The 16018-nt window shown below is 37.1% G+C and overlaps 1 protein-coding gene across 8 annotated transcripts in view, besides 1 other annotated feature; it reads left to right on the top strand.

Moving 5' to 3' along the window:
- The window catches only part of TNIP3 (TNFAIP3 interacting protein 3), a 96076-nt gene that overhangs the window by 62877 nt on the left and 17181 nt on the right, over positions 1-16018 (top strand). For 7 of the 8 annotated variants that reach the window (NM_001244764.2, XM_047416182.1, XM_011532257.4 and 4 more), the window contains 6 exons: positions 461-547; positions 3391-3471; positions 5855-5920; positions 7364-7513; positions 9928-10056; positions 14388-14504. In NM_001244764.2, coding sequence (NP_001231693.1) covers positions 461-547; positions 3391-3471; positions 5855-5920; positions 7364-7513; positions 9928-10056; positions 14388-14504 — 630 coding nt within the window. Of the gene's footprint in view, positions 1-285; positions 548-3390; positions 3472-5854; positions 5921-7363; positions 7514-9927; positions 10057-14387; positions 14505-16018 lie in introns of those variants that run through there. The other variant, NM_024873.6, reaches the window with a different exon arrangement.
- Positions 8359-8653: an enhancer, noted in NCBI's record as "tiled region #6302; HepG2 Activating non-DNase unmatched - State 24:Quies". NCBI's record gives its function as "activates a minimal TATA promoter and a strong SV40 promoter by Sharpr-MPRA in HepG2 cells {active_cell/tissue: HepG2}" and the evidence as "EXISTENCE:reporter gene assay evidence [ECO:0000049][PMID:27701403]".

Below are 16018 nucleotides of genomic sequence, written 5' to 3'. Positions count from 1 at the left end.
AGCTGTCAAAAAGTCAACAGTTACCTAATTGCTCTGGGAAATACAATGAATTTATAACAGTTAGGCTACTGAGGAAACACTTGGATTGCCCAGGCTTTCTGTGGTGGAGAACTTCCTCCTCCAGTGGGAGAAACTGCCAGTAAAGGAAGAATGACGATTTACATACTATAGCAAGGCTAATCTGCCCCAGGTCTTAGTCACGGCCTGCCTATTTGAGACATCCTGGGAAATCCCTATTTGGAAGAGAAGAAAAGTTAAAATCCCAGTTGCAGTGCTTATAACTTTATTCTGTGTAATTCCTATCCACAGTCACTTCTGTTCATTTTTAATGAAAACCTATTGCTGTTATTTTCTATTATGAGTTAACGGTGATGTGTGTTTTTTAAATTTTGTATACTTGCTCTCACCCTAAAATATACCTTAAGAGACTTTTCCCCTGTTTTTCTTTCTGCTTTCCAAGACTCCAGGAAAAACAGCTTCCATGGCACATTTTGTACAGGGCACATCTAGAATGATTGCCGCAGAAAGTTCTACGGAGCATAAAGAGGTAAGAACATATTTCTAGGAGATGAGTTGATCACATCTAGCATTGATGGCATTTCTAGTGGTTAATTGTGCACTTATTAATAAGAACAGAAATGGCTAGTTTGCTTTCTTTAGCTAAGATTTGCTCTATATTTTTAACCAAAATTATGTAACATAGAAAAAAATATCTAAGTAACCAGTACATTGCTTTTAACCCACGGGGCTTAAATTCCTTTCAGCCTTCCAGTTCTGTGGGTTCCTTATTTTGTTCTTGATTTTTGTTCTATAAAAATCTTAAAAGAATACTATATTGGTGTAGGTAGAAATAGAACATATTGTAACAATAGAGTATCTGTAGTAATATTTTTATATATTTACAATTGGTACCATAGATTTTGTTCAGCAACAGAGACTACTGCTAATTGAATGAATGAATTCAAATATTTTCTAGTTTTCTTTTACAGATAACCAAGGTATAATGGGAAACTAAATGGAAACTTCTATTCATTTAAGTTTTTAATTTAGTAGCATCAGACCTTGAATATACATTGGTAAGGATGTTATCATAGAGAAAGAAGTGCCCAGATGCTTTGAACAGAAATTCTACTTTATAGGGAATAATTATAGGAAATTATGTATAGGGAATAACTGTTCCGTAAGCAGCCCTTGCTAGAATCAATGACTGAAAATCTTTGTAGTTACTGCAAATCAGATGCCTTCATTAGCAACTGTAAAGCAAAGTAAATACAAATTGAAAAGGTCCCCCAAACCTTTGTATTTGATTAATTTCGCTTTATTTTATAGAAACCTGAGACATATGAACTATAACAAAATGTTGATTAATCTCCAGAGAAAGCTTTGGTGATACATTTGTGACTTACATGCCATTCCTAGTCACTATGTTTTCTATTTTTCCTCCCTCCTATCCTCCCCCACCTATAACTGAATATTACTTATGAATTTCAAAAACTAGTACTCGTGCAGTTACAAATAGAGCCTCTTGCAGATTTGGTATCTAGATTTTCAGTAATTTTTATTTATTAAAGAAAAATCAAGGGTGAAATGTATTATAATTTTCTTCCAGAGAAAATTGTTTATGGGGAAACAAACAAAAAGCACACTGTCTCATTGTTCCACATCTGGGCTCCCAAAGGCAGGGACATACAAATGTTTGCCAATCACGGATTTTTGTCTACATCACAAACAGAGAGGAGACATTTTTGAGGACCCATAATTTATTCCCTAGAATGGGAATATATTGAACTTTAGTATGAATCAAAATTACCTAGGAAATGTATTAGAAATAGAGGTGCCCTGGCTGCTCTTCTAGAAATTCTGATCCATTGTTCAGGATGCTCTATGTTTAGCAAGCTTAACGGTGACTTTGATGTGCTCTTGTGGTGGGAACCACCATTCTAAAATCCAGTCTTACTGTGCCCCTACTTTGCTGATGACCTCAAGATACACTAAGTAGGGTTGGCTCACAGCATTTTCCAGATCAAAGATGCTTAATAGTTAGTCTGTTCTAACCCAGAATGGGTCCAGTTTCTTGGAAGTCTTCCCCAAAAGAAGAAGGTCCAATTACGGGCCCCAACATACTTGACACTTGGGTTTCAGTGTCACTCTTGGTGCTCAGCCAGAACACCTTCTTGAGGTCAAGAGCAAATATAATCATTCAGAATTTATTGACCCACAGAAGACTGTCTCTTTTTAAATGTGGTCTTAATTGTAACATAGGTCTAAATAGGAAGAAGCTAAGGAAACGAGAACATCTCTGCTTACTTAAAATACCATCAAACCCTAAAATGCTGAAACATAAACAAACAGAGAAAAGATAGAAAATACAGTTTTATAAATAATTTCTGATGAAAAAAGGTGCTTGAAATCCCATGATGATTGCAAAGAACAATTTCCTGTACACATTTCTGGCAAAGACCAACAACATGTTTTGAAAATATTTCTTAATGGTTCACAAATAGCTTTAAGCAACTTAGTGATCCACAGTAACTATTAAGCCTGAAACAGATTACAGATGTAGGAATTACTCTCATCATCCAATAAATTGTATTACTTATATGACTCTGAGATGAGATAGTAATAAGACTATTGAATTATTATAGAGGATCCAGTCCTTTATTTAAGTAAATATTGTTCTTAGTCGATTTAGGCAGATGGCAGACAGCTTCCACAGCTTTTGTGTTATCTTTAAATGAATACTCTCACTCCTGAAAAAAATAACTGAAAAGAAAGGTGGTAAATTTTCATTATGCCAGTAATTTATTATTAATCTAAACTAGTAACCTAGTGACTTTATTCAAAGAGCTGGCTAAAATTACACAGTAATTACACAGTAATGGCTGTATGTGTTTGTCTTTTTCTCGATGATTTTGTCGTTCCTCTGACGTTTACTGGGTCTACTTTTCAGAATATTACTCACATACATGTTCATGGGCACAGCTACCAAAATGACTTTTATGAAATGTTTACTATAAAAATACCTAAAATATATCCATGAAACTTACCTGATTTCTGAATTGTCATTTTTTTGGAAAAGGATTGAAATCCAAATTCATAAAATTTTAATCTCTGACTTACCCGTTATAGTATACAGATATATTTATAATTTATTAAAGAATTATATTGGTAACTAATTTATGTAAAGCATTCTAAAACATAATATGAAGCTGACTCATCCACCAGCCATGATGAAGGACTTAGGGTATGAGGATTATTACTGCTAGAATCAGGTATTTTTTAAATCGCAACAGGAGAGTTGGCCAAATGCATGGGGTTTCTGAGGAACAGTACTTCTGTTTATTTTGTAAACAGCTTTGTTTCAATCTTCTCTCTTTTTTTTTTTCTAAGTGTGCTGAACCATCAACAAGAAAGAACTTGATGAATTCTCTTGAACAAAAGATAAGGTGTTTGGAAAAACAAAGAAAAGAGGTAACTTAGAAATATTCGCTAAAGCCACAGGTGCCATGGATTAATGCTGAGGATAAAATAATGTATTATCCTTGTGCCTTTTATTTTTGTTATCAGGTCACAGTATTTATCTTTAAGATACTGGACTGCACTATTTTGAAAGCAAACGCCTTCTTTCTTATTCACCTGTATGTTTCATACTTGTTGTCTCAGTGTCTGTGCAGTGACGAATGAAAAACGACAAAGTCATAAGTCTGGTAATATAATCCTAATTTTCTCAAAACTTAGATGTTTCCTCCACACAGACCAAGTTACTTTATCCTTTATGCCTTTATCGTTTGTGCCTTATGACCTTTACCCTTTATGCCTTGCAACTTGACACACCTTGAAACTCAAGGTTTCTTGAGTTACTTGAAAAGTCTTTAAGTATAGTTGATTTAGGTGCTATGACTTCATGAACTGGGCATCCAAACACATGGGAGTTAAAAAGCATTATCATAAATAAAGTTTGTTTCTAAAATGTTCCTGGGAATTAATGGGTATTATTTGGAATTTTATTTTTCTGAGCTTAATGAATGTTAGAACCTCTTTACTCTTCTTGACAGAGGAAGTAGTGAAAAGTATAACAATTTTAGCACTCTGTATATTGTCAATTTTGTAATTCCTTCTTTTTTTTTTTTGAGACAGTGTTGCTCTGTCACCCAGGCTGGAGTGCAGTGGCACGATCTCAGCTCACTGCAGCCTCTGCCTCCAGGGTTCAAGTGATTCTTGTGCCTCAGCCTCCCAAGTAGCTGGGATTACAGGCGTGCACGACCATGCCCAGCTAATATTTGTATCTTTAGTAGAGATGGGGTTTCGCCATTTTGGCCAGCCTGGTCTAGAACTCCTATCCTCAAGTGATCTGCCCACCTCAGCCTCCCAAAGTGCTGGAATTACAGGAGTTAGCCACCGTGCCCAGCCTGTAATTCCTTTTCTAATTCATTCTGTGTACTACATCTTTCATGTTCTCTTGCATGGTGCCTTCTACTCTTCTTTGATACTTGAAGAATATTGTGACCTTCTGGAAAATTATTGAACGATGGCAGAGTAATGTTACTATAGTATACACATGGGAATCCCTAAAATGCCAACAGAGTAACTCTCAATATAATAATATTATACAGTTTCATACTAAATAATGATATGTATTTTCAGCATAAGAGTTACCTAGTAACTGCCACTCTGGATTCAGTAGTTTGCTTTTTAATTAGGAGAAAGTTTTGCTACTTTTTAGTCATTATGACTGTCTTCTCAGTGTCTGTTCCCTATAGATAAGCGTTGGAATTTCTCTTAATGCAGAAAACTACAAACTTCCCCAACAAAAAGCCAACCACATATCATAGCACTTCTTCTGCCTTCTAATTAGCAGATAGTCTTAAGATCTTTAAATTATTTGTAGCCTAAAATGCATCTAAATATTGTCCTATGACGAAACTATAATTTCTTGAAAATCTAAATTTTCAAAATGGTGATATTACCTATTTGTTGAGTATTTATTATAAATCATGTGTTAATCTTTTAAAACACATTATTGCAAGAAAATCGTGATCAGTTAATGGAGCCTAGGCTTTGTTAGCATAAATTCTGCTTTAAAAGAGCTGGAAAAAATATTTCATTATAATCAGTGTAAGCACAAAGAAAAATACGAAAAAGTTTGGGAAAAGAACCTCCATGCATTAAGAAATCTTACAGACAATCATCAATACTTACAAATTTTTATCAGATTGTGGTTGGATTAAACAAAGAAAATGAAAATCCAAATAACTAAAAAAAGTTAAAAGTTACTGATAAACTGTTCAGCTGACTTGTCAAGATATACCTGAGACTTACTGGTTTTTCTTTTCTTTTCTTTTCTTTTTTTTCTTTTCTTTCCATGAGATGGAGTCTCACTCTGTCGCCCAGGATGGAGTGCAGTGGCACAATCTCGGCTCACTGCAACCTCCACCTCCTGGGTTCAAGTGATTCTCCTGCCTCAGCCTCCCCAGTAGCTGGGACTGCAGGTGCATGCCACCACGTCCGGCTAAGTTTTGTATTTTTAGTAGAGACGGGATGTCACCATGTTGGGCAGGCTGGTCACCAACTCTTGACCTCAAGTGATCCCACCTGCCATGGCCTCCCAGAGTGGTGGGATTACAGGCGTGAGCCACCGGACCCAGCCAGTAGTTTTTCATATACGAACCAGTTATAAACAGTGAGAGTGTGTTCAATTTAATCATCCCAGCACAATCAGAACTTGATGGAAAAAAATATTGTCTTCATCCATGGCTTCTAAAACCTTAATAAGCTCAGAAAGTAATTTCTTTTTGACCAAACTTCCAAATGGGCAGAAATTCTTTGTTGATTCACCAAATTTTAATGATTTCAGCTCCTGGAAGTTAACCAGCAATGGGATCAGCAATTTAGAAGTATGAAAGAGTTATATGAAAGAAAGGTAAATACCTCTCTCTATTCGGTATTTTCTTTAAAGCCATTATCCTGGTGGGGCCAATTGTGTGAAGAGTCTCATTCATTTCAGCTACAAAGAGCTTTGTGGATAGCCAACTGTTGGAAAATGACGGGAAGGGTGCTAAGTGTAGTATTGGTCTCATGGCACTGAAAATTAATGAACGGTGTCAGTGAGTTGTCTTGAGCAATAGCTAAAGAAAGGTGCAAAAATGGCCCCCAGTGATGTCTCAAGAGTTCTTGTGCACATTTATCGTGGCTCACAGAGTATCCCAGCCTTACCTTTGTCACTAGAAGCCACAAATACACAAAGTTATATGTGAGGTGAGATATGGTTTAAAGTCCATACTGTTTACGCCAGGTTAGCCCTAATTCTTTAATTAGATAGCATGACCTATTTTCCACAAATAGAGAAACAAATGGTGGTAACAGTGAAAATGTGAGTAAAAATGGAGCAACCTCCTCTTCCATCTAAAGCATATTTGCTCTCAAGAAGCTCTGGTGAGAAAGGGGCTTTTGGAAGAAAACCTCCTTTAATACATAAAAGACAATTTATAATTTAAAATTATTCTATTTTCAAAAAGAGATAAAAAGAGCAAGTACTTTCCCCTAAATAATTCAGTATTAAGAAACTTGACCATGAGTATTGTAATATAGCAGCATTTTTCCTTTCTTCCTCATTTTGTTACCCAGAAGTATTGAATTTAGAAGGTGCAGGATAATGTTCCTGCTGCACCAGGCAATGGTCAGGCAGCCTTGCAATATCCCTGCTGGGGCAATCCGGATCTGTAAATGTTAAAGATGATGATCCCAGAGAGAATGCTTAAGCTGCTTTCTCGAACGGCTTGCAGGTGTGTGAAGACAGTGTTAGTGATGGCTATAATCTCCATCTTGGAAGATGCATCCATCTCTAAGATTCTCCCTCTGGACTGTGGCCACTCTGAGGACCTGTCACTCTGTCATCAGAGTGATTTGGCACCTAGTAGGAGGTCAAGTGCTGCAAATTACTGATAAATTAAAGGCCATGTCTGTTTTTCTCTGGTGTAGGCATATGCTACTTAACCTGCTGCCCCTCATTGCCCTTTCCAGACCAGGCTAGGCTCACCTGGAGAGTTGAGAATAGAATGACAAACCTACAGATTCCCCTGGGTGGGGTCTAAGTCTTTTATCCCCTCTGAAGTAGGGGTGGTTTGGAGAAAAGAAGGAAGAGCTGGGTGGTTTGGAGAAAAGAAGGCTGTTTTGGTGCAAGGCCAAGCTCCCTTTGAAACGCGAGTATCCCGATCTGTGTTCGGGACGGTGGGAGCTAGAACCTCTCCTTAGGGGACGTCCTGGGGTGGGGCGTTTCTGCCAAAGTTCATAGCCTGGGAATAAATCCAGGGGCTTGTGAGCTTCAGAGAAGGTATCTGCAGCTGTCTTTGAACGACCTCCTCAGGTAGCAGAGCTGAAGACGAAACTGGACGCCGCGGAAAGATTCCTCAGCACGCGGGAGAAGGATCCGCATCAGAGGCAGAGAAAGGACGACAGGCAGAGAGAGGACGACAGGCAGCGCGACCTGACCCGGGACCGGCTGCAGCGGGAGGAGGTGGGCGGGGCCCGGGTCCTCGAGCCCGGAGGATCCAAATAAAAGCAAAGGGGCGGGGGGATTTCCTGTAGAAAACCTACCGTTTTATTAAAATCAACTCACTACTGAGCAACGACCGATGTGCAAGGGTGCATGGGTTACGCAAGTCCCCAAGAGCCATGAACAAGGGTCACTTCTCTAGAATAAGAAGGAAGGAGATTCTCTGCCGGCTTCCTCCTGGTTTGCATAAATAGGCAGACAGTCATTCCCCAGTCCCTTCCAGGAAGAAGAAAACGGATCCATAAATTTGCTAACTCTCTAGGGCATTTCAGCCTAGGAGAAATTTTTTTTTCTTTTGCTTTTATTCGTATTTATTATTTTTATTAGTAGTGTTCATAATAATAATATGGCAATACCTTGTATTTGTGCAGTAGCTTTTCAAGCTTACAGAGAGATTTATATATGAGGTCTTACTTCTGTCACCATAAATTTATGACATTTTTTAAAGCCTTCGTCCTCATTATCTCATTTAACATTCTTGGCCCACCTGTGAGCAAAATATTATTTTTGCTATATTAAAAATGAGAAAGCTGAGATGTAAACAAATTGAATTGCCCACGTTGATGAAAAAGGACTTGAACCCAACCTCCAGATTCTAAAGCTCTATCAGTCCCTTGCTGAGAACTGGATGGTGACAATTGAGATGACAGCTTTTCCTGAAGAACACTTTTTCTTCCTGGTTTTACTTTCAATTATTGGACTTCATGAATATTGTAGAAAATGGGAGGAAACCTTAAACTCTAATGGCCCCTCGTTATTTTAGGTATAGTAAGAAAAAACAAAGTGTAAAGACTCTGAGGGGAAATCTTATCACTGATATCGTGAGGCAATGGCAATATTTTAAAACATGTACAAATCTTAAGGCAATGTCTGAAATTCGCGCAGACAATGCCAGTCCAGGTTTTCCTATCTTGCTGAGGATGTCTTTGTCACAGTGAGTCAGGAAAACAGAGTTTAGCAACACTCCCTTTCTGCCATGTAGCAGTCATTTCCTTTTCCAATTACACTCTAGCCAGGAATCTGAGTAATTTTTCCCTCAATGCAGTTGGGACCATTATCTTATTGGAATAATTTTCTCTTAAATTATGCTAAATTAGAAAATAATTGGCTTATTTTCTAAGTGTATATGTTCATTCTATTTAAATAAAAGCAAATAGAAATATTTTCCCTTTTAAAGAAAATGAATTACCTAAAGCGGATTTCTTAAATTTAATAATCATATTGGGAAATATTAGTTACTCAAATAACACACTTTAACACATATATTAGCTATTTTTGCATGTCAAGTTACCTATTTTCTGCAATATTTATTTTACTGGGTTAAAATCTCAATCTCATTAAGAATCCAATTTACTTCACAAAATGTTTGCTATCTATTATACAAAATTAAGAGGTAGGAGATATTGTCTGAATCCAGAGCCTGTTGATGTTTACGCAGCTAACCTTCAGTTGTTTAAAACACTGCACTTCTGGATGACAATTTTAGATTGTCATCTAAAATTGGAGGAGTGGTGGCAGTTGGACTAGTTGATTTCTACCTTTTAAAAATAATAATCACAACAATAGAGTGCTCTAAATAATGATCTGTAATGAAAGGTCTTATTGGCCTAAGGATTATTCTCTTTTCCCTCTTTCTAATACAGAATGATGCAGGAATGAGCTTTGAGATATTTAGTATTGTTTTCTCACAATGAGAGTTTTTTCTTTTTAAGACTTTCAGCTATTTTTCTTAATCACTTATCCATCACCTAGTGACAGTATATAAGGACTTGCTTATCCTGCAGACCCATTTGTCTGATAATTGAAAGTAAGAATTGGGAATCCAGCACTTTGGGAGGCTGAGACGGGCAGATCACGAGGTCAGGAGTTTGAGACCAGCCTGGCCAACATAGTGAAACCCCATCTCTACTAAAAAATATAAAAAATTAGCCGGGCGTGGTGGCAGGCACCTATAATCCCAGCTACTAGGGAGGCTGAGGCAGGAGAATTGCTTGAACCTGGGAGGCGGAGGTTGCAGTGAGCTGAGATCACACCATTGCACTCCAGGCCGGGAGACAGTGTGAGAATTCGTCTTTAAAAAAAAAAAAAAGAATTGGGAATTTTGATTTTTTTTTTCCTGGGGTCACAAAATTTCTAAGATACTTCAGTAAATTCTGATAAAAGAAAGATTCCTTCAATCCTAATTCTAGTGTGCATCCAAAGAATATTGCTCAAATGGAACATTAAGTTTAAAGTCTTGCAGGTCCTGTTTTTATTGTATTTCAGAAGGGTGACCCCTCAATCTGCCTGCCATGGCTGATATATCAGAATTCCTACAATATCATCTCATTTGACTTGTACTGACTTTTATTTTCTTTTCTTGGTCTTAACTTCAGAAGGAAAAGGAACGCCTAAATGAAGAATTACATGAATTGAAAGAAGAGAATAAACTTTTAAAGGGAAAAAATACTCTTGCGAACAAGGAAAAGGAACATTACGAATGTGAAATAAAACGCCTCAATAAGGTATCAGTCAGGTCAAGCATGGGAGATTAAAATGAGAAGTCCCTGCATAAAACATTCTTACTGACAGTCGCAACAAAATCTAGGCTGCAGTGTGGGTCCCAGCCTTGGAGGCTTGCACAAGAAATTATCTGTGATTTTATAAATCACTCCTAGCTGCAGCTTTCAGTCATACTTGGCTAAGGAGGCTTTAGAGAATTTTTGTCCCTACAAAGATTCATCATGAGAAAGAGAAATGAGGAGGAATTACAGAGACAGTAAGAACATTTCTTAGTTTGAAGAACCACATAAAGCAAGTGGGTGTTTGCGAACAATAACGTATCTCTTGGTCAACCGCAAAAGCTTCCTCAGGAAACAAACTGCTCTTTAAAATGATCACTATGGAGTTGGGTGTGAAACACACTCTAAGGAAGCATGCTAAATGCAGAATCCAAGGCTGAGATGATAGCTCTCTCAAGTGCAAGCCTAAAACCTACTTTAAACCTACTTTAAAGTCAGAGAGAGGAAAAGTGTGCGTGTGTGCATGCAGGGGTGTGTGTGTGTGTGTGTGTGTTGTTTTATGGACTAGTTCATTCATGTTTTGGAGGAATGGGTCGCTAACTAGTTCAGGAAAAATAATCCTATACTGTTGACTTTTCCAAGAGCCAACCCATATGTGGAACATAGGAATGCGCTAGCACATGGTTGAGTTGAGATATGCCTCTCTCAACTAGATATTTCATGATAAAAGCAACAGAAATTGTCTTCTGAAACAAGAGTAGGTGATTGGACTTGAAACAGGTGCTCAAACCCTGTATTTTGGACCACATGCCCATGATTGTAGTTAACTGGTGTTCAGAGATGTTATTTAAAGATCCTCAAAGTATTAAGTATGTGCCTGCATAGTTGATAGGATGCTTTGCAAATGTGATCCTGTAGTAGATCTGTGTGTGGGACAAGTTATTCTTCAGGAGAAAATGGGAAAATGAGGATAAACTTCATAAACAATATACTTTATCCTCTAAGACAGAAAAACCATGCTCAGACATACAAATGCGGGGCAAAATCTATCTTTTCCCTTTTTTTCTTTTCCAGAAAATGTTGCACAAATGCATTAAAGGAACTATAAATAATTGAGATTATATTTAAAATCCTCCCATTTTTGATACCGTATTACAAGTTTTCTTACATTGTCTAGTTAATTTCCCTAAATGTAGACACAAAGATATAAACCTTGTAGATATTAGAACAGCCAAGAATGCTGTAGTTTTGCTCATGTCCATGTGCACTCTTCATGTTTGTGTATCCATATTTGTAGTTCACAGAAAATTGTTTCAAGTTAGAAAAATACAATTTTTCATCATTCCGGTGATTATATAATTTAATAATTCTACACGAAATTTTACATTTTAAAATTTTATGATTTTACAATTATAAAATCTCAATGAGAAAAAATAATTTGAGTAAAATCAGATCTTTATACAAATGTCACCTCTCAAAGATGACTTTTCTGGCTGTCCTAATTAAAATTACATACTATACTACTGGTATTTCCCGGTTTAATTTTTCCTTGGAATTTATTACTATCTAATGTATATATAATGTCTAACTTTTATGACTTTATTTGTTTTCTAGCTACTAATCTTGGTTGTTAGTTCCATGAAGGTAGGATTTTTGTGCCAACTCCTCCATTAGGCACCAGAGGCACAGTGGCCAGGCCTACAGTACTGTTAGGGACCCATAAGTATGTTTATGTTTAATTTCTCTTAAAATTAGAAGAAAAAATAAACTTTGGGGTTGAAAACACATTTTCATATATTATGTATCCATCTTTATAACAACACATTTGTAAAATATCATTTTAACATGTATTTTTAGGGAGGGAGGGACTCAGGCAATGTCATAATGTGGTTCTGAATTTTTTCTGTTTTGTTCACTGCTTTATCTTGAATACTTAGAACAGGACTTTGCTCAGAGTAAGTTCTTAAATATTTATTGAATGGGTGAATGGATGAATTTAATTAGCTAGTATATAATATGTTTGGTAGACAATTCTGGACCCAGAATTCATGCTTTAACAGGCATAATGCATTACTTATGGGTAGTGAGCAAAAAATAAAAGGATGCTTAAAGCCAGAAAAGACTTCATCCCACATCTATACTTTAAGCTGTCCCTTAAAAGTATAGATATAAAGTGATGAGTTATGACAGTAGATTTTTGTCTTATTTAAGATGGGTTTTGGTACCTAATGTAAGATATTATTGTTCTTCTATTTTACAATGAATATTTTTCTTTTCCTTCTTACCAATGTGATAAACAAAAGTTACTCAAAATGTTGATTTTGGTAGCTGATTTTGCACACCATCCATCACAGCATGGAATCCAGGGCCTACCCTCTATGTACAAGCTGAATGCTTGCTGACCCATTCACTCAGAAAAAATTTGTAATATGTCAGCCTTGTAATTAACATACTGTTTTTAGAAGTTCACACAATTATGTGTACTCTATTCAATTTATTTGCATTGAAGAAAATGGGGAAATATACCTAGGAGTTTGTTTTTATCAGGCTCCTGAAGCCAGATGTTTAACCAAAGTGAAAACAATTACCTAAGGCTACTCAGCTCGTGCCACCCGTGGGCAAAATTGATTTGTCTAACATCTCAGTAGATCTGTTTAGGATATCCATACTAATCGTAAATATTCTAGAATAGGTTATAGGTGTTTGTTCAAGGAAGTTGGGAAAGCCCAAAATGGAATAAATATCTATTAGACTCATCTTTCATTTATGACTCATTTACAAAATTTCTAGGATCCCAAATAGCATGAAAAGTAGATCAGAAAATTCAAATAACAAGATCTACAAAAGTAGTCTATTCCCAGGTGTAGGATAAGGAACCAGCATATTCCATTGCCATAATCCATTTGGCCCACCCCACCCTAGATTCTCTTTACTACTATTCACCAATTGAAAAAAAAAAATTGAACTATTCTGACACTTCCTAGAGCTTAACACAAATCCTCAAAAAACATAAATTATTAAACTACTTTTGTTGCTTCTTTAAATTCTCCCTGAAGGATGAAAAAAGCTCTTTTTTTCTCTTACAACTTCCTGAAAAAAAATGATATTCATATCAGGCTAGACAGTATTTGTGTATTCTAAGACATTCTATTAGGAAATTCCCAGCCTATTCACATACTCAAAACCACACATTTGCTTTTCTTTTCCTACCTTTATGACCATATTATATAGTAATGCAGTGGAGTAAGTTACCACTAATATCACCAAATAGACACTGTTGAAGTTACTAAAGAAATACAGAAGCAAATTATTCTTAGATCTCTGAAAATGAACCTTTTCTATTTGTACAGAGGACTCATTTGATAATGAGCAAGTAGTCATTTTATGGTCTCTGAGGCCACACCAGGATGAGAAGTGTTCTGTCACAATATTTGGAAGTAATTTTTATTGAACTTATCATGAACCAAAGGTCTTCAAAATAGAGGCAATGTCTTTCATATGATATTACCAAACATAATGTAATGATATGCCCATCATGAGCTAATGACTAAAGATGATAATCGTTCTGGTGAATACAGGTATTACTTCTTTCTTTCCTCTCCTCATGTCATGCTAAAAGCATCAACTTATACTGGATGTCAAGAAAGCAGGGCACTCTCTCCACTCGGTAGTGAGTTAATGAATGTTTTAACAGAAAATAAACAGGACTGTGGCTAGGCCAGGGCAGAAGAGCAACGCAACAGAGCTAACAGATAATGAATCTGCATGGGCTTTCATTTCTGTGGATGTCCCTCTCTCTTGTTGGAGGCATGCCATAGTTATATAGTAGAATGTTACTCAAAACATCACCTGGGACCAGCAGCACCAGCTTCTGAGAAATGCAAATTCTCAAACCATACCCTCCAGCCTACTGATTCATCATCTCTGGGAGTCAGTACCAAGGGATGGGCATATTTGCTGCCTCTGATTTTCCCTAAGGCTAAGCATCATTGAAAGGGTATACATTTGACTGAAGCAGAGAATCTGGAGAAAGTCTATAGATACAGATTTTGTTTTCATAGTTGGCTAGGTGGAGGAGGAGGGTCCAATATCAAAGCCTAAATAATAATGAGGATTGACTAACATAAGCATCATCATGGAAAAAAGACAGAGATTCTGAAAAAAAAAATACATATATGAGAAAATCAGAAAGAAGAAAGTTACTTGGTTATGTAAGCAGCGTTAAACATGAAATGCATATTTGTGGGTGCATTTGAGATGATTGTAACAATTATAAAAGAATTCATTCCATGTGGTAAATCTTAGATCAACAGTGTACTTATCTTATTACGTAGGCTCTTCAGGATGCCTTGAATATCAAGTGTTCATTTTCCGAGGACTGTTTGAGGAAGTCTCGAGTGGAATTCTGCCATGAGGAGATGAGAACAGAAATGGAAGTTCTGAAGCAGCAGGTGAGAAGCTGGAAGTGGCATGATCCTGTGGAGAACATACTGCCCATTTTTCATGCTTCTTTGGGCATTTTTAGATGTCTTGCTGCTAGAAATATGTCAAAGGTTTTTGCATTTATTTTAAGTAGAATTATCTAATTTTCAAGCTTGATAGAAAGAATACAGATCAGCTAGTTCAGTCCCACCATTTAGAACATAGGGAACTGAGTTTCAGACAGATTAAATGCTTACCCAAGATCACACAATTAAAAGAGGGGCACGCCAATTAACCTTTGGGTGAGGTTCTATTAGCACTGGGGCTAGGGAGTTTCACGTAGACATGGTTTTTGTTTTTGTTTTTGAGACAGAGTCTCCCATTGTCACTGAGGCTGTGGTGCAGTGGTACAACCTCCGCTCACCGCAACTTCCGCCTCCCAAGTTCAAGTGATTCTCCTGCCTCAGCCTCCCGAGTAGCTGGGATTACAGGCATGCACCACAATGCCCAGCTAATTTTTTGTATTTTTAGTAGAGATGGGGTTTCACCATGTTGTCCAGGCTGGTCTCAAACTTCTGACCTCGTGATCCACCTGCCTCGGCCTTCCAAAGTGTTGGGATTACAGGCGTGAGCCACAGCACCCAGCCACGTGGTTTATTTTAAGAACACTATTAATCCCAACTCTGGACTTTTTCAGAAAATGGTAGCAGCTGAGTGGTGATTCTGTAGTTGCTAGCCTCTAGGCCTTCGCACAATAAGAGCAGTTTCAAAGAAAATACTTTGTACTTATTATAATCACTGAAACCAGGTTTCTCAGCTAGTCCCGTGTATGGATGGCACCACTTAGCAATTCACTGATGCACAAGAGCATTCTCCTCCCCACTCACCTAACCTCACGCGCTATTGCCAAGTGGACAGCAAGAGTAAGGATGCACTCTCTACAACTTCCGCATGTATCTATTGGCAGCATAGGGCTGTGGAGATACTGCATTGGTTAAACTACCTGTGTCTAAATTTAATCAATCTGCTGAAATTCACTTAGCTGAGGGGCCGACCATGCATATCATGTCTCTTTTTATGTGAGAGGTTAAATTAATGTAGAGAAAAATCTGGAATGGTTCATGGCAATAATGATAAATACAGGATACATAAAGGAACCTCAATCCCTGAGGCACACATTGTCAGTAACATATTAGCAATGGGAGACAGGGTGTCATAGAACAAAGGGCTGGAAAGCATTATTTTTCTGATGTCCCTGGGTATGATTTACTGACTGGTTTTGCCCTGAGCAAGTACTAAGTACAAAGATTTTTGTTGCAATACATGGAAAAATTCAGCAATTGTGTTATGATTGTTGCTATTTACTTTATTGTTATTGCTTCATATGAAGTAGCCTGTGAATAGATCTAAAAATTTTATAGCATTTGATGGTGAAGTTGGATTTTCTGTTCTGTCAATTTTACTTGAATAATCTGCTTCATTACATTCAGGGTAAAATACATAGCTGAAAAATAAACCGACGAAGAGAATAAGGGTAATATGC

The sequence above is a fragment of the Homo sapiens genome, chromosome 4, assembly GCF_000001405.40.
Source record: "Homo sapiens chromosome 4, GRCh38.p14 Primary Assembly".
Classification (NCBI taxonomy): Eukaryota; Metazoa; Chordata; class Mammalia; order Primates; family Hominidae; genus Homo; species Homo sapiens.
Note: the sequence above shows the minus strand (reverse complement) of the source record. Positions and strands in the feature narration are given on the sequence as shown.